Source organism: Homo sapiens, chromosome 7 (assembly GCF_000001405.40).
Source record: "Homo sapiens chromosome 7, GRCh38.p14 Primary Assembly".
In the NCBI taxonomy this organism is placed as follows: domain Eukaryota; kingdom Metazoa; phylum Chordata; class Mammalia; order Primates; family Hominidae; genus Homo; species Homo sapiens.
This window is the reverse complement of record NC_000007.14, coordinates 32160323-32183093: the sequence shown is the minus strand read 5'-3', so window position 1 is coordinate 32183093 and position 22771 is coordinate 32160323. Positions and strand designations below refer to the sequence as shown.

At 41.0% G+C, this 22771-nt stretch overlaps 1 protein-coding gene across 9 annotated transcripts in view, besides 1 other annotated feature; it reads left to right on the top strand.

Annotated features, from left to right (window-relative positions):
- Positions 1–22771, top strand: part of PDE1C (phosphodiesterase 1C) — an 811448-nt gene that overhangs the window by 245131 nt on the left and 543546 nt on the right. For all 9 annotated transcript variants that reach the window (XR_001744802.1, XR_001744803.1, XR_007060041.1 and 6 more), the window contains exon 3: positions 13138–13309. Coding sequence is in view for 6 of the 9 variants with exons in the window: in NM_001191058.4 (NP_001177987.2) it covers positions 13138–13309 (172 nt within the window). In the remaining 3 variants the exon portion in view is untranslated. The remainder of the gene's footprint in view (positions 1–13137; positions 13310–22771) is intronic.
- Positions 19290–20489: an enhancer, noted in NCBI's record as "P300/CBP strongly-dependent group 1 enhancer chr7:32202217-32203416 (GRCh37/hg19 assembly coordinates)". NCBI's record gives its function as "activates an origin of replication core promoter dependent on BRD2, BRD4, P300/CBP, MED14 and CDK7 cofactors, with strong dependence on P300/CBP, by STARR-seq in HCT116 cells {active_cell/tissue: HCT116}" and the evidence as "EXISTENCE:reporter gene assay evidence [ECO:0000049][PMID:35650434]".

Genomic DNA, 22771 nt, shown 5'->3' with positions numbered 1-22771 from the left:
CTTATAAGTTGGATTCCTAGGTATTTTATTCTCTTTGAAGCAATTGTGAATGGGAATTCACTCACGATTTGGCTCTCTGTTTGTCTGTTATTGGTGTATAAGAATGCTTGTAATTTTTGCACATTGATTTTGTATCCTGATACTTGGCTGAAGTTGCCTATTGGCTTAAGGAGATTTTGGGCTGAGACGATGGGGTTTTCTAGATATACAATCTTGTCATCTGCAAACAGGGACAATTTGACTTCCTCTTTTCCTAATTGAATACCCTTTATTTCCTTCTCCTGCCTGATTGCCCTGGCCAGAACTTCCAGCACTATGTTGAATAGGAGTGGTGAGAGAGGGCATCCCTGTCTTGTGCCAGTTTTCAAAGGGAATGCTTCCAGTTTTTGCCCATTCAGTATGATATTGCCTGTGGGTTTATCATAGACAGCTCTTATTATTTTGAGATACGTCCCATCAATACCTAATTTATTGAGAGTTTTTAGCATGAAGGGTTGTTGAATTTCGTCAAAGGTCTTTTCTGCATCTATTGAGATAACCATGTGGTTTTTATCATTGGTTCTGTTTATGTGCTGGATTACGTTTATTGATTTGCGTATGTTGAACCAGCCTTGCATCCCAGGGATGAAGCCCACTTGATCATGGTGGATAAGCTTTTTGATGTGCTGCTGGATTCGGTTTGCCAGTATTTTATTGAGGATTTTTGCATCGATGTTCATCAAGGATATTGGTCTAAAATTCTCTTTGTTTGTTGTGTCTCTGCCAGGCTTTGGTATCAGGATAATGCTGGCTTCATAAAATGAGTTGGGAAGGATTCCTCTTTTTCTATTGATTGGAATAGTTTCAGAAGGAATGGTACCAGCTCCTCCTTGTACCTCTGGTAGAATTCGGCTGTGAATCCATCTGGTCCTGGAATTTTTTTGGTTGGTAAGCTATTAATTATTGCCTCAACTTCAGAGCCTGTTATTGGTCTATTCAGAGATTCAACTTCTTCCTGGTTTAGTCTTGGGAGTGTGTATATGTCCAGGAATTTATCCATTTCTTCTAGATTTTCTAGTTTATTTGTGTAGAGGTGTTTATAGTATTCTCTGATGGTAGTTTGTATTTCTGTGGGATTGGTGGTGATATCCCCTGTATCATTTTTTATTGCATCTATTTGATTTTTCTCTCTTTTCTTCTTTATTAGTCTTGCTAGCGGTCTATCAATGTTGTTGATCTTTTCAAAAAACCAGCTCCTGGATTCATTGATTTTTTGAAGGATTTTTTGTGTCTCTATTTCCTTCAGTTCTGCTCTGATCTTAGTTATTTCTTGCCTTCTGCTAGCTTTTGAATATGTTTGCTCTTGCTTTTCTAGTTCTTTTAATTGTGATGTTAGGGTGTCAATTTTAGATCTTTCCTGCTTTCTCTTGTGGGCATTTAGTGCTATAAATTTCCCTCTACACACTGCTTTGAATGTGTCCCAGAGATTCTGGTATGTTGTGTCTTTGTTCTCGTTGGTTTCAAAGAACATCTTTATTTCTGCCTTCATTTCGTTATGTACCCAGTAGTCATTCAGGAGCAGGTTGTTCAGTTTCCATGTAGGTGAGCAGTTTTGAGTGAGTTTCTTAATTCTGAGTTCTAGTTTGATTGCACTGTGGTTTGAAGAGAGAGTTTGTTATAATTTCTGTTCTTTTACATTTGCTGAGGAGTGCTTTACTTCCAACTATGTGGTCAGTTTTGGAATAAGTGCAGTGTGGTGCTGAGAAGAATGTATATTCTGTTGATTTGGGGTGGAGAGTTCTGTAGATGTCTATTAGGTCCGCTTGGTGCAGAGATGAGTTCAGTTCCTGGATATCCTTGTTAACTTTCTGTCTCGTTGATCTGTCTAATGTTGACAGTGGGGTGTTAAAGTCTCCCGTTATTATTGTGTGGGAGTCTAAGTCTCTTTGTATGTCTTTAAGGACTTGCTTTATGAATCTGGGTGCTCCTGTATTGGGTGCATATAAGTTTTTAATATATGATCCAGATATCATGTAGACTTTCCCTTTAAGACCTATACAAGATTGTTTCAAATCTTCATTTCACATCCAGTTTCAATCCTTAAAGTTTCTGTGACAGTTTTAGGGGTTTCCCCTCATTACTTCCAGCTATTATTTTCTGAGTCTGTTGAATTATTTCCTACACTTTGTGTCTCGCAGATAACAAAAGATGGGACACAGTCCATTCTTCATAATTTCTAAATCCTCTCTCCCATGTAACTTTCAGAAAGCAGCAGTGTGTGAGACTTTTATGATTCCAGAAAGCCAGTTATATTACAATTCCACATAGCATTTAACTTAAACACAAATGCCAGAGGTATATGTTTTTGGAAAATTCTGCACTTATATCTGCCAAGTGTCTTACGCCATTTGTGTTGCTATAATAAAATACCTGAGACTGGGTAATTTATAAAAAACAGAAATTTATTTCTCACAGTTCTGGAGAATGAATATCCAAGATCAAGGTGCTGGCAGATTCAGTGTCTGGTGAGGGCCTGATTTCTGCTTCCAAGATGATGACTGGTTGCTGTGTCCTCTGAGAGGAGGAGCGCTGTGTCCTCACATGATGGAAGGGACAAAAGGGAACCAGAGTCCTTCCGTGAATCCCTCATGACCCAATCACCTCCCAAAGGCCACACCTCTTAATACTATTATACTGGGGATTTAGGAAAACAGGTTAATCTAACAAGATAACTTAGAAATAAATCCTAATGTCTTTGGGAATTTAGAATGTATCATCACAGATCAAATTTTATTCTTATATTTTGTTGAGGGAGTCCTTTTCCCCACCCCTGATGTGTATGATAAGGAGTTAAATTTTCAAATCTTTTTGCAATTGCAGGAGACAGAATTCCGGAAAAGTTCCTAAAACCAGTAACTACTATATTGAAAATAACAAAACAGTATCTAGGTGACTGATTTAAGATATTCAAAACATTATTGGTACTTTATTTTTTGTACCATCATTATTGTTTTGTTTTAGTGAGCATAAAGTTCTTCATCTGGGCTTTACTCCATTCATTCCTAATTCCTATGTATCCCAGCCCCAAATTTCCTACCCACTGAGAATTTTAGGAGTTTTATTTCTCCAAAGGAGAGGAAGGCTACAACCCTATGTCACAGATATTTTGAGAACCGTTGAAGGTTTTCAGTAATGTTTTTTCCTTCCCTTTACAGAGAACTATGTCTCTTTCTTTCCCTGTGCTTCTCAGGACTCTAAATTTTCAGCTTTCTGCCAGCATAATCTTTGAGTATTCTTATACAGAACTGAGTTGATGAGTCACTTGTCAGATTTAAATGGGATTACCACATCACCTTGGGCTCCTTTTACTAGCAGTTTATCAAGCTGCCACTCTTAGGCACACCACAAAATGAATCTGTAGTTATTTCTGATTTAGATTCTTCTTATCTCATTTTCTTGCTTTCTTGTCTTTTCTCAGCCCATTAAATTCACCTGGCATTATTTATCCTCCCCTGCAGCCTGAGCTTCCTTTGTTAAAGGAAGCTGCAAACTGCTGCATGCAAGACAGTAAGTCAGGCCTGTAATGCCAGCACTTTGGTAGGCCGAGGCAGGCGGATCACGAGGTCAGGAGTTTGAGACCAGCCTGGCCAACATGGTGAAACGCCGTCTCTACTAAAAATACAAAAATTAGCTGGGCATGGTGGCGGACGTCTGTAGTCTCAGCTGCTCAGGAGGCTGAAGCAGGAGAAATCGCTTGAACCTGGGAGGTGGAGGTTGCAGTGAGCTGAGATCACGCCACTGCACTCCGGCCTGGGTGACAGAGTGAGACTCCAAAAAAAAAAAAAAAAAGACTAAGTCAGGACTCTTCCTAGTTGCGATAAGGCAAATCCTGTTTCCTATGTAAAAAATTGTCTGTTTCCTATTCAGAAATGCAGGATGTTCTGCGTGATCTACACTAAGCATCTGTTTACTTGCTCTGTAATAAAGTAATAAACACAGTGTGATGTATCACACAGAGCCTTGGATTAGGAGAATGAGAATTTTGGGTCAAAGTAATGTTTTCTAACTCTGTAATCTAGGTTATTTGATTTCTTGGAGTCTTAGTGTCCCAGTGTTCAGTAGTTTCCATAATACTTACTTTGAAGGGCTGATGATTCAGTAGGCTAACACAGGTGGAGCCCAGCACACAGCAAGTACTGAACAAATGTTTGCTACATCTGAATCTGAGCCCCTGCTCTCTTGATGAGCTCAGTGGTACAGATGCTGCCAGTCAGGAGGATTTATAACCAGTCCGGAGGGTTTATGGGTCCATGAAAAGTTGTCTTTGTGAAGAGAACGGAGAGGATTTATGGCAGGGACAGAGGGGAGGTAAGAGGAAAGGAGAATGTAATAGGCATTGAATGAGAGTCAGGAACAAGTCAAAGGAGAGAGGAAAGAGAAGGTTGGGGAGGGGAGTGAGGAGAAGCTGATGAGATGGAGTGGGTTGAAGGGAGATGCTCACCTCCTGCACCTGAGCTGCATTATTTTTGGTGCCCTGAAGGCTTAGTTTACCTAAGATTTCCCTCATGGGGTTTTTGATATTATTGAGAAAGACCTGTGTGAATCTATCTGTTTGTGTATTTTTGGCTCTATTTAGTCAGAAACATTTCATGCTTTCAACATCAGCTTAAAATAAATCAGAGAAGGGGAGTTTTTATTTTTCATTTTGTCAGAGCAGACCTTTCCAGTGCCCCTGGAGAGTCTTCTGCCCACATTTGTGGAGAGTCAGAGGAAGGGTTCTTTTCCACTCTCTCAGAGTTCACAGAGGAGAGTACTTACTCCAAAAGACTCACCAGATTGAGTTGAGATGAGCCATGGCAGAGGCCCATGGTGATCCTTCTAAGGCAGGAATGAGTAGCAGATTAGATTCTGGCTGTATTTTCTAGCACAGAAAAGCTGTGTGGATACCCTGTATCCTGGGCACCTCTTTGGCCTGGCTTCACCTCCTCTTGGTCCTATTTTTAAGCTCCGGCTTAATTTCTCTTCATTTCCACCCAGATTATGTGGGAATTGCCCCATACTTATGTGTGGGTAGACCCCAAAGGGCTAGAAAATTAATTCCCTGTGGAGTTACCTTTGACCATGGGGGATGAGAGCCTGCAGATAAATGCTCCCTCTTCAATTCCTCAGGGGGATAATTCTGAGCATGCTCCCCACCTTCTCTGTGATCCCTGTAGAACCCAGCCCAGGTACCCTGTCTTGGTAGGGTTTATTATTAAATACAGTAAGGCCAACAGATCAGGAGGTGACTGACATTGAAAAGATAGTGTGTTACACGCACAGATTCCAAGAGAAGGGGCACATCATACCATGTGGGCCATACAGGGAAGCACTGGGGCTGGTCACTGGGCAGAGGGGGGATCAGGCTGCTGTAGGCAAGAGCCTCAGTGTGGTTCAGGAAGCAGTGAGCGAGGCAGGGTAAGCTGATTTAGGATTGGCTAGTTGGATAATGTCAGTGGTCTTGGGGTAATTAAGGCCCATGGATAGTGGCCAGGAACACAAAAGCTCTATAAGGGCGGTGGTTGGGGGTGCAGACTCTGGGTCGGTTGGTTTGTATTTGAAAGGCACACCCCTGAGAGGAGGACTGCTGCCTGAGGAGGTGCAGGGGCAAGGTGACTCAGACATATTATTATTGGGTTGCCTGGAACCAGGCATGTCTGGCATATGCGCATAGGGCAGATGTTACAGCTCAAGTTTACAGATGCTAGAAACATGGTGAATACACCCACGGGATGACGACTTGACATTGCACCTGTGTCTTGGTTTTCCCTTGTTACTCCCTAATTTACTCTCCGTGTTCTCCTCTCCTGCCTCCTGGAATCACTTCCAAAAGAAAAAACTTGCCACAAGCCCTTGTCTCAGAATCTACTTTCCAGAAAGAAACTTGGTCAAGACCTTATGTTGGACGCAGTTCAGCATGGGCTGAGCAAGGCCTTTTTTCTCCGCACACGGCAGTGTTCTTTGTTCGTCTTTCTTAGAGTGTTTCCTGTGACATGTTTTTTACTTAAAATTGTTAATATTATTATTACTCACCTTTTGCCTTAAAGTTTTTTTACTTTTTGAAAAATAGTCTATCATTTATGAATTCATTCAGCAAACATCTCTTCAGAGCCTGCTGAATATGTAATCATGAGTTCACACTGATAGTTCTAGTTCAAATCTAACACAACAGGCTTCTTTACCTTCTCCTACTGTCTGTTTGTATTTTCTGTCTCCTGGAATAAGAGCTGTGGTTCCCAACACCCTCATTATGGCTGCTTATTTGCTCTGTCCTACAGTATATGTGATATAGTTTAGAACTGCTCCTTTATGATTATCAACAACAGCAAACCTACTCAGGGAGGTTCAAGATTTCTCTGCTGTGTGTGTGTGAGTACGTGTGTGTGCATATTTAGAGTTGATCTCTCTAATGATATACAGTAGGGATACTGTATTCATAAAATATTTAAATTAATCATTATTTTCCATTATAATTATGTTACTAATATCACATACAGTTAGGTTCATTTCTGTTTCTATTCAATTTTAGGATTTGTAAATTTTTTTGTTAACTATATATTTGAATATTAAAACATTTACATTATTCAAAAGTAAAAACTATATACAAATGTGAAGTCTTTCATCTCCAACCTGTCTTACTTATTCCCAACTCATCCTTTGTGGGTAATTTTCATTGTTTCTGGTCCTGTCTTCTTTGTCTTTTGCAAAAATAAACAAATATATTTCCCCTTGTTTCTTATTCAAGAGGGAGCATAATATAAATAGACTCATGCGGTTTTTTTTTCACTTATAATGGATCTTGGAAATCACTCCTTATCAGCTTATAGAGATCTTTCGCTTTGGGATATTAGTCAGTGGCATAGCAATCCATTACATAAATGTACTATAGTTAATTCAGATGTAGTTAGGCTAACTACAAGAGACTTCTCAAAGGGGAGCAGCATGAGGACTTTGGTACTGTTAAAGGATAATTTTTTGAAAATTCATACAAGTACAAAGTGAACATGTGTCAAAGATCTTATTCAACACATTGATGAATAAACCAGTAAGATGTAACAACTAGTTTGGAAGAAAATCCAAAGAGCAGAAAAATATGTAAATCCATCAGGTGTGCTGAAATTTACTTAATGGATGTGAAATGGCAAGACTTATCAATATCTACAGGGCCATAATTAATTGCATTCCATGGGACACAATTTACATTTCTATGGACAAGATTCATTTGTGTTGCTATCAGTTTTCTCCAATTTACAGTATTGTAAAGTAGTTCCAAGATAGTGAAAAGTGAAGACAATTCAGATGGGTGAGATAGATAGGACGCTCATGAAAGTTTTTGGTCAATTTCAAACACTTCGATGGATTGGAAAATTGTTTATGGAGGGGATTAAGGAGAGGGCTAGGGAAAACGAATTCAGTTTTCCAAAGACTGGCTCTAGTCTAAATCAATTAGCAGCTGCCTTGTGTTTTTCTGCCTCTTCAAAGCTTCTTGAGTGCAGAGATGGTAGAGTTTTATTTTAAGAAACTGTCACAGCTACCCCAACCTTTAGCAACACCACCCTGATCAGTCAGCAGCCATCAACGCTGAGGCAAGATTCTCCACCAGCAAAAAGATTACCTCTGCTTGAAGGCTCAGATGATTGTTAGCATTTTTTATTTCAGCAATAAAGCATTTTAGAGTTAAGATATGTATATTGTGTTTTTAGACAAAACGCTATTACACACTTAATAGACTACAGTGTAAACATAATTTTTATATGCATTGGGGAAACCAAAAAAATGTGTGTGACTCATTATATTGTGATACTTGCTTTATTGCAGTGGTCTGGAACTGTGAACCTATGATATCTCCTATGTATGCCTGTATATTGTTTTCTAGCCTTTTTAGAAGATGAAGGCAAGTGAGAGGGGAGTTGAGAGTGAGTGTTGAGTGAATCCTAGTCATCTCTTCAACCACAGTTTTCTTTTAAACTCATGAATGTGTATCTTTGTGGGGGCTGGTACTTTGGAGGTATCACATTTTCATTTGGGAGCCCTTAATGTAGAGGTGGCTTGGGTCTCATGATCCTTCTGATTCATTGACTGAGAAAACGGTGAAAAAGCTCTTATGAATTCATTAATAGTTTTAGATGAATTTGTAGTTTTATTAATCACATCTATATATATTTAAATATTAGTTACATATTTATGGGTAAGATGTAATTTCACCCACAGTTAAATGCATGGCACCCTATGGATTCAGGAGCTCTTCCTACGAGCCTGCCATTCCTCATAAGTCACTACTCCACAGCACACCAGTCTCCTTTCTGAAATACAGGTACAGCTGTGTCACCACAACCTTGCTCAAAAATCTTTCTTTTCTTTTTTTTTCTTTTTATTGCTTGGAGGATAAATTCTTAAATGAGTAGCATTTTATTCAAGGCACTTTGCAAATGGCCCAACCAGCCTCTGACCCGATCTCTGGACACTGCCCCTGTGGCTTCGTCCCAGCCTCAGGAGCTGCTTTGTTACGCCTCTGAGCCTTTGTATATGCTGTCTGCACTGATTGTTTTCCCCTCCTTTCCACCGGCTGAAGAGCGTCTCATGCTTTAGACCATATCCGATGTCATGTTCTCTCTGTGGTTTTCCCCAGGGTCCCGAGGCAGAGTGGGTGAGCTCTCCTCTGGGTCCCATAGCCCTCTATTTGCCCCTCAGTTATGGTGCATTGCCAGTTTATTATGATTGCTTGTGGGTTCCCTTGGGAACCAGTCTCATTCATCTTTCCATTTCTAGGGCGAAGAATGAAACCTGGCACATTGAGGGAATTCAATATGTGTTTACTGAATGAAAAAAATGAAGGAATAAAGGGGGATGTGCAGGAACTTTTTTGTAAGGCCTTCATTTAGATCAGGTTTAAGAAAACAGGCTGCTGTTCTTGTTCTTCTTCCCAGAACCAGACCTTCATTAACATAGAACTGATCTTCATTAATGCAGAACCAGACTTCATTAATAGGACCATATCTTATTAAGATATATGTGTAGGGCCCTTAAAAAACAAAAAAAGCTGTCTTGTCTTTCAGGGGTTTGAGGAATCTGTTTCCTTCCACTGATGTACTTTAATTTTCTCTTGATAGACACAAGCAGTTTGGATGGACACCCCAAGGGAGGTCAGTTATGGCACGGGCATTGAAAGAGCTGTTTGCTGACCCATGGGTGTCCTTGCTTGTAGGCTCAGGAATCCATGTGAGGAACTCCCTCTTGTGTGTGAGGTTCTTTCAGTCTTCCTGGCAGAGCTGTCCTTCTGGCACAACAAGCCAGGGTGATTTCTTCTATGGTGGGCTGCAGGTGGCTGGCCAAGGTCTCAGGGAGGAATTCTCATGTGCACACAAATCCATTTTCTATCTGCCTATCCCATGTGCATGGTGTGTGTTAGCTAGCACTGCTTCTCACTCCTTCATGCCCATCCCTCATGCCCCATAAGGAGGCTTTGTGTGAATTAGAAAAATGCAGTATTTTGCATAGACACAGCTCTATGGTGCATGGCTTAGTGATCTGACAGTGTTTTTTTTTTAATTTTTAATTTTTATTTATTGTTATTTTATTCTATTTTTATTTTACTTTAAGTTCTGCTATACATGTACAGAATATGCAGGTTTGTTACATAGGTATACGTGTACCATGGTGGTTTGCTGCACATATTGACCCGTCCTGTAAGCTCCCTCCCCTAAACCCCACCCCTCAACAGGCTCTGGTGTGTGTTGTTCTCCTCCCTATGTCCATGTGTTCTCACTGTTCAACTCCTACTCATGAATGAGAAGATGCAGTGTTTGGTTTTCTGTTCCTGGGTTAGTTTGCTGAGGATGATAGCTTCCGGCTTCACCCATGTCCCTGCAAAGGACATGACCTCATTCTCATTTTTATGGCTGCATAGTATTCCATGGTGTATATATGCTACATTTTCTTTATCCAGTCTATCGGTGATGGGCATTTGGGTTGGCTCCATGTCTTTGCTATTGTAAATAGTGCTGCAATAAACATATGTGTGCATGTGTCTATATAGTAGAATGATTTATATTCCTTTGGGTATATACCCAGCAATGGGATTGCTGGGTCAAATGGTATATTTCTGTTTGTAGATCCTTGAGGAATCGCCACATCGTCTTCCACAATGGTTGAACTAATTTACACTCCAACCAACAGTGTAAAAGTGTTCCTATTTCTCCACAGCCTCGCCAGAATCTATTTCTTCTTGCCTTTTTTTTTTTTTTTTTTTTTTAAAGATGGAGTTTTGCTCTTGTTGCCCAGGCTGGAGTGCAATGGCACCATCTCGGCTCACTGCAACCTCTGCATCCTGGGTTCAAGCGATTCTCCTGCCTCAGACTCCCAAGTAGCTGGGATTACAGCCATGCACCACCATGCCCGGCTAATTTTGTATTTTTAGTAGAGATGGGGTTTCTCCATGTTGGTCAGGCTGGTCTTGAACTCCTGACCTCAGGTGATCCACCAGCCTTGGCCTCCCAAGGTGGTGGGATTACAGGCGTGAGCCACCATGCCTGACTGCTTCTTGACTTTTTAATAATTGCCGTTCTGACTGGCATGAGATGGTATCTCATTGTGGTTTTGATTTGCATTTCTCTAATGATCAGTGGTGTAGAGCTTTTTTTCATATGTTTGGTGGCCATGTAAGTGTCTTCTTTGGAGAAGTGTCTGTTCATATCCTTTGCCCATTTTTTGATGGTGTTGTTTGTTTTTTTCTCGTAAATTTGTTTAAGTTCCTTGTAAATTCTGGATATTAGACCTTTGTCAGATGAGTAGATTGCAAAAATGTTCTCCCATTCTATAGGTTGCCTGTTCACTCAACCTGACAGTGTCTTTGTGCAAAGACAAAATTTTTCTTTTATCTGGGTAGACATAACCAGAACAAGCCAACGGCAATTGGTTAATGGTAATGGTAATGTCTTCAGGCTCTACTTAAAAAATTTTTTGCTCATAGACTTTTAAAATAATAGTTATTTAATTAATTATATATGATTTATTTATGATTTTTATTTACTTTTATTTTTATGAATTTTATTTTAGAACAATTTTAGATTTACAGAAAAATTACAAAGATAATATAGAGATCTCATACGGCCTACACGCAGTTTCCTGTATTATTAACCTCTTACCTTAGCATGGTACATCTGTTCCACAATCCCATCTAGGATGCCACATTACATTTAGTCATCATATCTTTAGGCTCCTCTTGGCTGTGACAGTTTTTCAGACTTTCCTTATATGCTAGTCCCTCTATTTCCAAGGGAATTGGTTACCTCAGGTAACAAAATGCACAGAGGTTCAAGTGCCTGATATAAAATGATGTAGTATTGTCATATAATTTATGCACATCCTCCCATATACTTTAAATCACTTCTAGATAACTTGTAATACCTAATACAATGTAAATGTTAAATAAATAGTTATTGTATTATTTAGGGAATAATATAATAATAACATTAAGTAAAATAATAATTTCAATAACAATTTTAATAATTTAATTTTGTTAAAATAATAAAATTTTATTAAAATATTAATTTTAATAATTTAATTTTAATAATAATAAGTAAAATAATAATATTAAGTAAATAGTTATTGTATTATTTAGGGAATAATGACAAAAAAAGTCTGTGCATGTTTACTACAGATTTTTTTTTTCTGAATATTTTCCTTCTTTAGTTGTTTGAATCCATGGAACCCATGGATATGGAGGCTCAGCAGTATTTGGTACCTTTGACTGTTTTGAAGAGCACGGGTCAGGTGTTCTGTCGCAGGTTCTTCAAGTGGTTTATCTAATGTTTTCTCCATGGCTAGATTGGGTGTTTTAGACTGATTATTTAATAAGTTTTATTACTGTTTAGGTATGGTAAGGTCAACAGATAAGGAGACAAATGCCATTGTAAAGATAATTTATTACCCACAGTTCCCAGGAGAGGGCTTCCATGTCATGTTACGGGGCCATCTGGGGAAGCACTGGTGTCAGTCAGGAGGTGGGGTGGGACATTGTGGGCAGGAACCTTTGTTGTGGTTTCTGCAAGAAGGAACAGGCAAGGCAGGGTAGGCAGGGTTGGGACTGGCTAGTTTGAATGACTTCAGGGGGCTGGAGCCTAGGGGCTGCCTAATACCTAGTTGCCTGGTACCAGGCCCTGGGGTGATTAGGCCCAGTGGAGAGTGGTCAGGGGTGAGAAAGTCCTATAAGGGAGGTAGATGGGGTGTGGACTCTGGATTGGCTGGTTTTTGTTTTAAAAGCACACCCCTGGAAGGAGGACTTCTCCTGAGGAGTTGGGGGTTGGGGGAGAGTGGGGCGACAAGGGAGGCAGGAGGCCAAGGTCAGGTGACTCAGGCATACTATTGGGTTGTCCAGAACTAGCTGTGTTGGGCACATGCATGTAGGGCAGATGTTACAGCATGAAGTTTGTGGAAGCTAGAAACATGCCTAATACACAAAGCAAAAGTGACATTTTCATGACATCATATCAAGGGCACACACTATCAACACAACTTCTCACTGTTGAGTTTGATCTTGATCACCTGGCAGATCAGGCTCTACTTTTGTAGACACCGCTTCCACTTGATGCCCACCTTTAATATTTATCTCACGTGTTTGAAGTTTTACATGCATAAACTACATGTAATTTTCCTGGGTCTTGATATGGTGAGTTCTAGTTCTTAAAGGTGGTGCCCTCTTTGGGGTGGGTGTCTCCATAGAATGGAGTCTTGGGCTTCAGCAAGCTGAATTTATAGGGGAGACTTGTATTTGAACATCCTCACAGTTCCCTAAAATGGTAGTGCTTTATATATTTCCAACTGCTGAATAAACATCTACATAGATACCTGTGGCTCTGTCAGGAGTTTGGGCTGATCACCACTGCAATGAGACAAGATATATCCAATAACTTAGCTTTGTGTCAAAATACTCAGAGTGGTAGCCTATTTTCTGCATATAAATGTAAAAATTCCTGGTTACAACTCTGTAATGTTGGCGGAGATGGTGAGAAATATATAAATTTCCCTGCTCTGCTTTGGAAGATCCTGAGTTGGGGAAGGCAGGACATGGAGTCAACTGGTGGATGATTCACCTGCATCTCTCTTTTCCCCATGCCTCAGGGTCTAAGTCACAGAACTGTCTGTGGAACTCCCTCATCGATGGGCTCACAGGGAATGTCAAGGAGAAGCCAAGGCCAACAATTGTCCATGACCCTCGACCCCCAGAGGAGATCCTAGCTGATGAATTGCCACAGCTGGATAGCCCAGAAGTCTTGGTGAAGACATCCTTCAGGTTTGGTGGATTGCAACTCAATGTGTTCCTTCTTATTTGCTTGTGGAGTTGTTTCAATCCAGTTAGATGCATAGTCAGTGTGGCCAGCAAATTACTTCATTTCTTTGCACTGAATAAATTAAAATTGATGAAGGAGGGTTGGAATCAATGCTAGCTGGACTTCTGGCTGTATTTCCTGAATGTAGTGAAGATCTTATCAGTAGTTAAGTTGCTGTTGGTATTTAATTGGTATTGGCATTTAAATGCTGAGGTAGAGGATTTACTGATGTTGGCAATTTGAATTGGATTAATGAGTCTTTTGCTTCAAAGGAGGATGACACATCCAGATAAGGGCATAGAGAAAAAGCACGTGTTGGGAATTAATTCAGCCCTGTGTATTTAGAGTCTCTTGCTGGGGGAAGGTTTCCAGTTGTAAAAGATGTAAGAGCTGCTGCTGACGGAAATGAAGCAAGAATTTTCTCATGTTGTTTCCCAGGTGGCTGTTTACTCTATTCTAGTTCATTGTTTAGTCTTGCATCTTCCTGCAAGGTCTCTTATTTTCTTTCGGCATTGCACTCCATTTTCATTACAACTCCATCCCTTGCCTTCTCACCCATATTAAATAAAAATCAATCTGGGTATGAGTGTGGTGTAAAAACGTGATTTTTTTTTCCCCAAATGGGTCTTTCAGACTCACATTTGAAACAGTATATTTACAGTACTACTGGTATCAGAAATTAAGACTCAATCATTTTTCCAGATTGCCTTCTGCCCCTCCTTTCTTCCTGTTATGTCAATTTTACTTCTTCCACTTTTCTTTCCACTATAGACTTTCATACTCTCCACATGGTTAGCAGAACATATAAACCTCGTTTTTCTCTCCCCATAAACAATTCAGACAGCTGTTGGAGTTCCATGAAATATATTTGAAAAATATACTCTCTTTTGTATCCAGGTGATATGTGTAATTGCTCAGTGAGAGCCATTTCATTGTGTGAAGATTCTTAGTGTTGATTGAATTACAGATGAGTTCTGAAAGGAGTGCTAAATAGGGGTTTGGATTTCTTTATACAGTGTGACGAGTACATTAGTGAGACAAGAATTGCAGGTAAATGCTGTTTTTATTCCTACTAAGGGCTTGGTTATTGCATCATAAGGTTTTGAATAAAATAAAACCCACTCACCTGAGAGAATACGTCTTATGAACCTGCAATTCTCAGCAAGTGACTGTGGTGAAAGAGGGGACCATGAATGGCTTTCTCTGTCTATGTGTTCTCACCTTGGAGCATTTCTTATGGAGTCAATCCCTTCTCCTAAGGTTTCTTATAACTACTCCTTCCACCCTAAACCAGGGTCATCATTTTCTTCAATGAACAGGCAAAGAGTTACTCTCATGAAAATAACATCTTATTTGCTCACCGAACTCCATTACCATCATCTGTTTTGTTTGCATTCTCTTGGTGCTCTTTAATAGAGAGCTCATGAGCTTTAATATTGATGCCCATGAATGTCATTTGGTCTGTTAGTTGTAACGTGTAGCAGTGTCTTGGTTTCTGAAAGAGATTAAGTTATAAATTGAATATCAGGACTTATTTCTGTTTCCTTGTAACACTTGGTGCTGTAGGAAAAAGACAGCAGGTGCATGCAGGTATATGCCAACCCTTTAGCAATTGAGACAAGAAATCCATTAGCATTTATTTATTTATTTATTTATTGGTACCCTTAATACAACTGTGTACTATTTTGTAACTATCCTTTCTTCCAAAGAAGATGGTTGATTTTGATGACAGTGCTAAATGGTAAATATTCTCTTCTGCAATTGTCCTTAACTGTGGTGGCATGATCAGCTGTGAGATTTGTTGTGCATAAATTACTACAAGTAAAGTACTCAGGTATGGGAAGAGTTTATTTATCAATGAATAAATCAGAGCATAATCAAGGTTACCCTACAGCTCCTCTGTAGGGTCATTACCATTGAGTGGTACCACAATAAGGGTTAATGATAGCTTTGATTACTTCGTTCTCTTTTTCCTTGGTCACGCTTGGAGGGCATTTGGAGTTTAGGGCCATGAAATATGGTCATCACCTCTTACCAAACAAGATACAAATGACAATGTCAATAAGCCCAATGTGCCAAATTATCAGGAGGTCCAGTCTTTTCTTGGGGTTCTTGTCCCTCACTATTCACAGGGACCCCCAGCCTTATTGACAGGCTGGGTTCAAGAATCATCGCTTATCCTGTTATGCCTTTTGTCCCCTACTAGGGAAATGAGGTCTCATGTTGAGCATGTACTTTCTGACCTCAGTGAAATTAGGCATTTTTATCACCAGCTTAGATTACCTCTTCCTTGTGATGACTCCTCTCTGTGGCTTCTGTTGTCTTTTCCTGATACTTGGCCTCAGCACAACCACAATTTTTCTCAGACATATTCTAATAATGTTGATTCTCAAAAGGAAGGGGTTAGATACTTAATTCCACTTTTCCCGGAAATCTTTTCTAGCTCTCTGCAAGGTGGAGGCAAATATATACAAGCTACTACCAGGACAAAATGTGTGCACTTGTTTAATATTTGCATTTAGTATTTTCATTTAAGTAGTTCTTTTCAGAGCAAAGGGACAGTCTGCTCTAAAGCTAAATTCTACTTTCTGTTTCCAAAGATACGAAGTGTTTATAAATTTATCAATGATGGGTGTTTTTCAAAAAAATTTCAAATATTTTTATGTTTCAGTCTCCACCAGGCTCCCTGTTACATCAGCAATAGCCGTTCTTATTTGCCAGGCTTAACCCAAAAAACTCAAGGATTCTGTCCATTTTAGAGATGAAGAAACTGGCTTGGAGAGAGAAAGCCTATAAAAAATTGCTGGTAGATTGCTGGTCTCCAATGCAGCAGCAAGGAGTAGCTTGGGCAGACTTTAAGTCTTACTTTATCACCCCACCCCAAATAAGTATATCATCTATAAACTCACATAAAAAGCATGCTTGTGATTCAAATGCAGCGTCAAGACATGTCCCTGGGCCTTGTCTTCCAATCAGGCTGCCATCCCTAAGTATGGCCTGCAAACACTCTGGATTGTCACTGGATTAATGTCAGTTACTAATAATGCCAGAGGGTATAGCTGAAAGTGAGAATTTGACACACTGACTTAGAAATAAAGATTTTGGAAAATGAAGGCACCACCTTTCTTCCCTAGGGGTTGTGTGTCGATAGTTGAGGTTTGTGCAAACACCATCTCAACTCTGGATATGGTCCCTGACAGTCTTCCCTCTTATCCCCTTCCTGGTTGGGCAGTGCTGATGAGGCATACTCTATGTATTGGAGCAGACAGTTTAGCAGAGTCTTGGGAGCATGCTTCCAGGGCTTGAGGTCTCCTCATGGCTGCCCAGGTCCAGATCCCAGCCAATATTGCTGGAAGGCAACACAGTTTAGTGCTCAGTTGTACCAAGGGCTTTAGTCTTTACTCTCCAAGAAACAAACATTTTAAGCTATCCAGGTGCGAAAATTGGACTTCTGATAGTGGTTGTACTGGGTTTCAGTTCCAACTCTATTGCCCCCGGCGAATTACTTCATTTCTTCAAACCTCTGTTTTTCTCTCCCCCACCACCCAACTCCCCAGCTTTATAAAGGTATAATTGACAAATAAAATTTTACAATGTAAAATAATATGATGTTTTGTTGCATGTGTACATTGCAAAATGATTAAATCAAGCTAAATAACATATCCACCGCTTCACATAATGTCTTTTTTTTTTTTTGGTGGCAAAACCTCTGTTTTCTTAACTGTCATACTGAGGTTGGATTTGAAGAGTGGTCTGATGATTCAAACTTGAGTGTGCATCACAATCACCCGGGGGGATTGTTAAAACAGATTGTTGGGCTCATCCCAGATCTAGGTGGGGCCCAAGGATGTTGTTCTCTAACAAGCTTCAGGTTATACTGATGCTGCTGGTCCAGGATCACACCTGGAGAACCACTGCACTAGATGAGATTTAGGATCCCTTTGAACTCGAGAGTATTTTGCTATGTTAATTTGAGCAGGTCACTTACCTATTGATATGGTTTGGGTCTGTGTCCCCACCCAAATCTCATCTTGAATTGTAATCCCATGTGTCAAGGGAAGAATCTGATGGGAGGTAACTGGCTTTTGGGGGCATTTCCCCCATGCTGTTCTTGTGATAGTGAGTGAGTTCTCACAAGATCTGATGGTTTCATAAGCTTCTGGCATTTCCCCTGCTTACTCTTCTCTTTCCTGCTGCTATGTGAAGAAGGTCCTTACTTCCTCTTCACCTTCTGCCATGGTTGTAAGTTTCCTGAGGCCTCCCTAGCCATGTGGAACTGTGAGTCAATTAAACCTCTTTCCTTTATAAATTACCCAGTTTCAGGTATTTCTTTATAGCAGTGTGAGAACAAACTTACTCACCTGTTCTGGCCTGTTTTAAAATCTTTGAAATGGGGATAAAGAGACCCCCTTCCTGGGGTTTGGAGAGGATTTAAAGGAGATAACGCATGTGAATGAGCCAAGCACAGTGTCCAGTACCCAGAATGAGCTCAGTAAGTATTAATTTTGTATTCGTGCTCAGCACTCACTGGAATCCTTACATGCCCTTGAAGCCTACACATACAAAGTTAAATAGGATCAAACATGGGTTTTGTGGCTCCACGTGCAGACACTGTGGGCCCTGAAAGCTCACTAAACTTGTGGCATGAAAGGTCTGTTTTCAAAACCTGAGATTTTTGAAAAGAAGAAAGTGGGAACCACAAATAAAGAAAAAGGCTTTGGTACCTGGAAAATAGACACTCCTGGGAACTCACCTTGGGTGCCTCTTTCCTTGTTTCTCACATTTTATCCCTTTAAACCTGTTGCTCTGCTCAGGTTTTTCTTAAAAGAGAATAGAGAATAAATTGAACCTGGGGCTAAGGAAGACAGACAAGTCCATCCAGTCTGATTAGTGACAGGAATCTCAATACCTGCCACTAGAGGACCCAAGAGAACATGAAAGAGCTGGCTGCTGAGAGAGGTTTGTCTCCCCAGCCTCTGGTGTACACATTCCCAGAGGTGGGAGGGACCTGGCTCAGATGGTACCACAAGTAAGAGAAGCCAATATTTATTGAGCATCTGCTATGTGCCGAGGACTGTGCATTCATTTGCTCATTTAATCCCCTCAAAAGGCTGGCAAGTTGAGTATTGTTATCCCAGTTGTACAGGTCAGGAAACTGAGGCTCAGAGAGATCAAGCAGCTTGCCCAAAGTCACCCAGCAGGTGGCAGAGCTGGAGATTTCAACCAAGTCTACCTAGCTCTACAGCCATGCTCCTTCAGCATATTCTACTAGCACCACATAACCTTGGACTTCATGTCTCTAGATTTGTTGTTGGTGAAAAAAGATATGGTGTGATTGGTTATACTAATTTGAGTGTGCACTTTGGATATATAGTTTGAGTTATATTTTGATACATATTTTATATATCCTATAAGACTGGCCCTATTCTATTGCACTAAATCTTTTTCTAGTCTAGACTTATGTTTTCAATCCACCTACCCTTTTTGGATAGAAGCCATTGAAGGCACTGCTTCTCAAACCTTATGTCTAAATGAATTCCTTGGGGAATCCTGTTAAATGCAGATCCTGATTCAGTAGGTCTGGGGTGCAGCCTGTGAATCTGCATTTCTAACAAGCTCCAACTGATGCAATAGTCTGAGGACCACCACCTTCAGAGTGGTGAGACATGGGCTTTGGAATCCCACAAGTATGAATTTGCAAACAATCTTTTAAACTACATGATTTGAGTAATGCTTTTGTTCTCTTTCCTCATTTTTCACATGCAAACAGTAAAATAATGGGCTTTGGGGGCTGCTGTTAGGATTAAGTGGGCCAAAGAAGGTGACAGCCTCTAATTCTTTCTCACTTCAGTTTTTAAAACCCTGTTTGGGAGAAGACTGATCCTCTACACCCCCAACTCTTTCTTTTGTGACTGGATTATGCAGTGGGCCCCAGCCAGGGAATATGAGCCCTATGGATGCTTTGTGAGTGATGCTGGCTGTGGGCCTGACCTCCTTGGGCAGTGGTGGAAATTCTGAAGCCACTCAGTGCATTGCCCATCTCAGTTCCTTTGCTTTGAATCATGCGACTCCCAACACAGGTTGAGTTGCCAGGTTTTGATAATTTTGCACTTGGAAGAATCATGTGCTTACTCCCTACAGAGTCAGTGGGGGCTTGGTGAGCTTCTCTTCCCACTTAGGATGGACTTATTTGGGCTTTGGCAAAGGCTTTCTAGATTCTATAGATAGCTTACTAAGAATATGTTCCAGAGAGCAGAATCGCATTGAGCCAACACCCTCAGCTACGGATGAGATTAAGGCCTTGTCAGATCCCATTTAATGGATTGTGTTTTCCATGCAGAATTAAATCGTTGAACTCATCCTCATTTTGGCTTTTGGCAGTCATTTTTCCACTAGGGGCTGCTGCCAAAATGTCAGTTTCTGACTTGATTACTTTCAGGAAATGTGCAGTCTGGCTGATGATATGGCATGGTGTGGGGTAGCGTCCCCTGGAGCTTCGGCCCCGCCCTGGGATGAGTCATGGGTTAAAATTCCCAATTAGCTCATAGGAAGTCTGGTCACACATATTTTTCTATTACTGAGTGTTGCTCACCCATTGGAAACTTCTGGGGACACCTACTCTCCTGACTTAGTGTTGCCTTCCTGGAGTTATTTTTCACCTTTAGTCTTTGCAAATCCAAATCATTTGCCAAGGGGAAAAATGAAAGAATGAATTCTGAGAATTTTTAAAGCCTAGAGAAGTTTTTATTGCAACCTTGGCTTCACATAAAGGCAATATTTAGGTCTCTCTTTGTAAGTTTTTAGAGACAGATCTTCCAGTGTTAAAAAATGACCAAGTATATATGAGGTAGACACCATTCCTCTTGCATTCTTGTTGGTCCTCTCACTGGTAGTTTGGGAAGGGAGGGCTTATCTCTGTGGTGGCCATGAGAATATACCTTTCATATCTCTGATCACAGAAAGTGAACTTGACGCATGGCCTCCTAGCTTGTGTGTGGGGAAATTTATCCCTGTGATGGCCAAAGCTGTGCATCCCAGAGGAACCCATTGGAACCCATTGGCGATGACTGAGCATGGCAGGGACCCTAAGGTCAGCTGTTCCTGGGAGACATGGAACTCCTTTGATGGTGACTTTGGTGTTCAGACTCACTAACGGCCTTGCTGAACTTTTTTTAGAGCTGCAGTACAGTCTCAGACACTGCCACCCAACTTTCTTTTACTGGGAGTCAGACCTGCATCCAGGTCTGATGGCTTTCTCAGCCTCGCTCAGCTTTTTACTCATTTGTTTTTACAGATTTTACTCCAATACATTTCTTGTATGTCTAATCCTGTCTTGACATCTGCTTCTAGGAGGACCACAGTCTCCCATCACACTGCAGTTCTCTGCTGGTGCATCACTTCTAGCTTGGCACGGGGGGCATAGCTCCAATGCTACTGGCCTGGATATTCTGGGCCAGTCTGTCTATATTTAATTTTATATTTGATGCAGTATCTTCCCTATGGGCTCTAGTGGGAGGGAACATGGGGCAAGTCACAATTTTCTTTAGTATCTTGTACTTTTATTGCCTTACAGGGGATTTTGTGGAAGCATTGAGATTAAAGAAACTACAACATAAGGATAAAATTGTAATTATCCTCAAAATATGATTGTTTTCATTGTCCAAGAAAGGTTCACAAATGTTGACCTTCATACAGAAGGTCTGCTGATGGACACACCTGGCTCCTAGCCAGTGGGCTTGTCTCTAGGGCTGACTCCCCCTAGAGAATGCATCCTTTTTCCAACCAGAGCACATTCTTCTTGGGCCGTTGAGAAATCCAGGCTTCCACCCCCAGGAATGTAGCTCATCTGAGGTGTCCTCAACCCCTCAGCATATGCCTCAACCACAATAAATTTTAGCAGCACATTTTACAAAGTGTGAGTTATTCATCCTAGAATAACCCTCAGGAAGCTTTCAGTGCTGTTGGGTTGGGAGGAGGAGCGGGACACTCTTTCTGGAGCTTCCACCTAACTCACCCTGCCAATGTGAAGTGTGGATAAACTTCTCTATGTTTCCTAATTAGCAACAGGAACTGCTGTTCCAGCCCACATAAAGACCCAAAATATGCAGGGAATCCCTGAAGTTCTCTCTAAACTCTAAACAAAGGAAGTTCCTTCCTTTGAAGGAAGTGTGAAGATTTGAGATCAGCTTGGACCAAACTACCCCTGGGGGTCAGTATGGGGTGCGAGGTAAATGCACTTCTCGTCTCCAGTTGCATGAGCAATAACTTCATTGTACACAACCTGTAGACTTACAGGGAAGAGATTTTCAATAGAGTATTTGATGTGTGAAGGTAGCACCAATAAGCTATGAGGGTGGGAGCAGTAGAGTAGAGGAGATTGGCAGTGAGATCACGGGTGTAGCCCAATGTCAAGGATGCTCTGTGCTCTCTTGGATACCTCCACAACTGGGCTGCCCAACCTCCTATCCGTGTGCTGTCTGGACACTACCACTGGCCCATGGTAGCACATCCCACATTATTCTTATTCATATTTTGCATTAGATACAAATTTTTCTGGGTGGCAGGGACCCACTGCCTGGATTGCCTGGTATATCATAGATGCTTCAGGTGTATTTGTTGATTGAATGAATGGGTTGTAGTTTTGCAGCCCAATTCATTTTTTATGGTTTAGCTCACGAACCTCCTATGAAAAGGATGGTGTAATTCTAGGAGCTGAAAGTATAAATTCAGTCCATCTCAGGCATTAGAGAAATTCCTGGTTGGGAGAGACGGCAGCAAGAGTAATGCTGTTGAAAATGCATTGCAGACTTTGGAAGCCTAAAATATAGGCAGTGGTTTGCAGAAGTCAGCTAGCCAGGGGCTTTCTCCCATCATATTCCTTCTTCCCTCCCTCCCTCCCTTTCTCTCTCTTTTCTTTCCTGTTTTTAGTTTCTTTCTTTCAACAGAGTATTGCTCTGTCACCCAGGCTGGAGTGCTGTGGTGTGATCTCAGCTCACCGTAACCTCTGCCTCCTGGGTTCAAGTGATTCTCGTGCCTCAGCCTCACGCCCAGCTAATTTTTGTATTTTTAGTAGAGATGGGGTTTCACCATGTTGGCCAGGCTGGTCTTGAACTTCTGGCCTCAAGTGATCCACCCACCTCGACCTCCCAGAGTGCCAGGATCACAGGCGTGAGCCACCACACCTGGCCCAGATTCCTTTCTTCACTAAAATTTCTTGACTTGGCTTATTGGAGGATAGAGGGTTTATTCTTATGAATTAATAGGGAATTAAGAGTTACTATCCAGAAAATGTACTTTATAGATTGTCAGCCCTAATGTGAGAAATACCCGTGTAACAGGGCTGCAACTTTGTCAATACCCCAAGATGTGTGAGAAAATGTTGCTTCTTAATTTCCTTTTTAGTTGAACTAGTCTTCCTCTGGAGC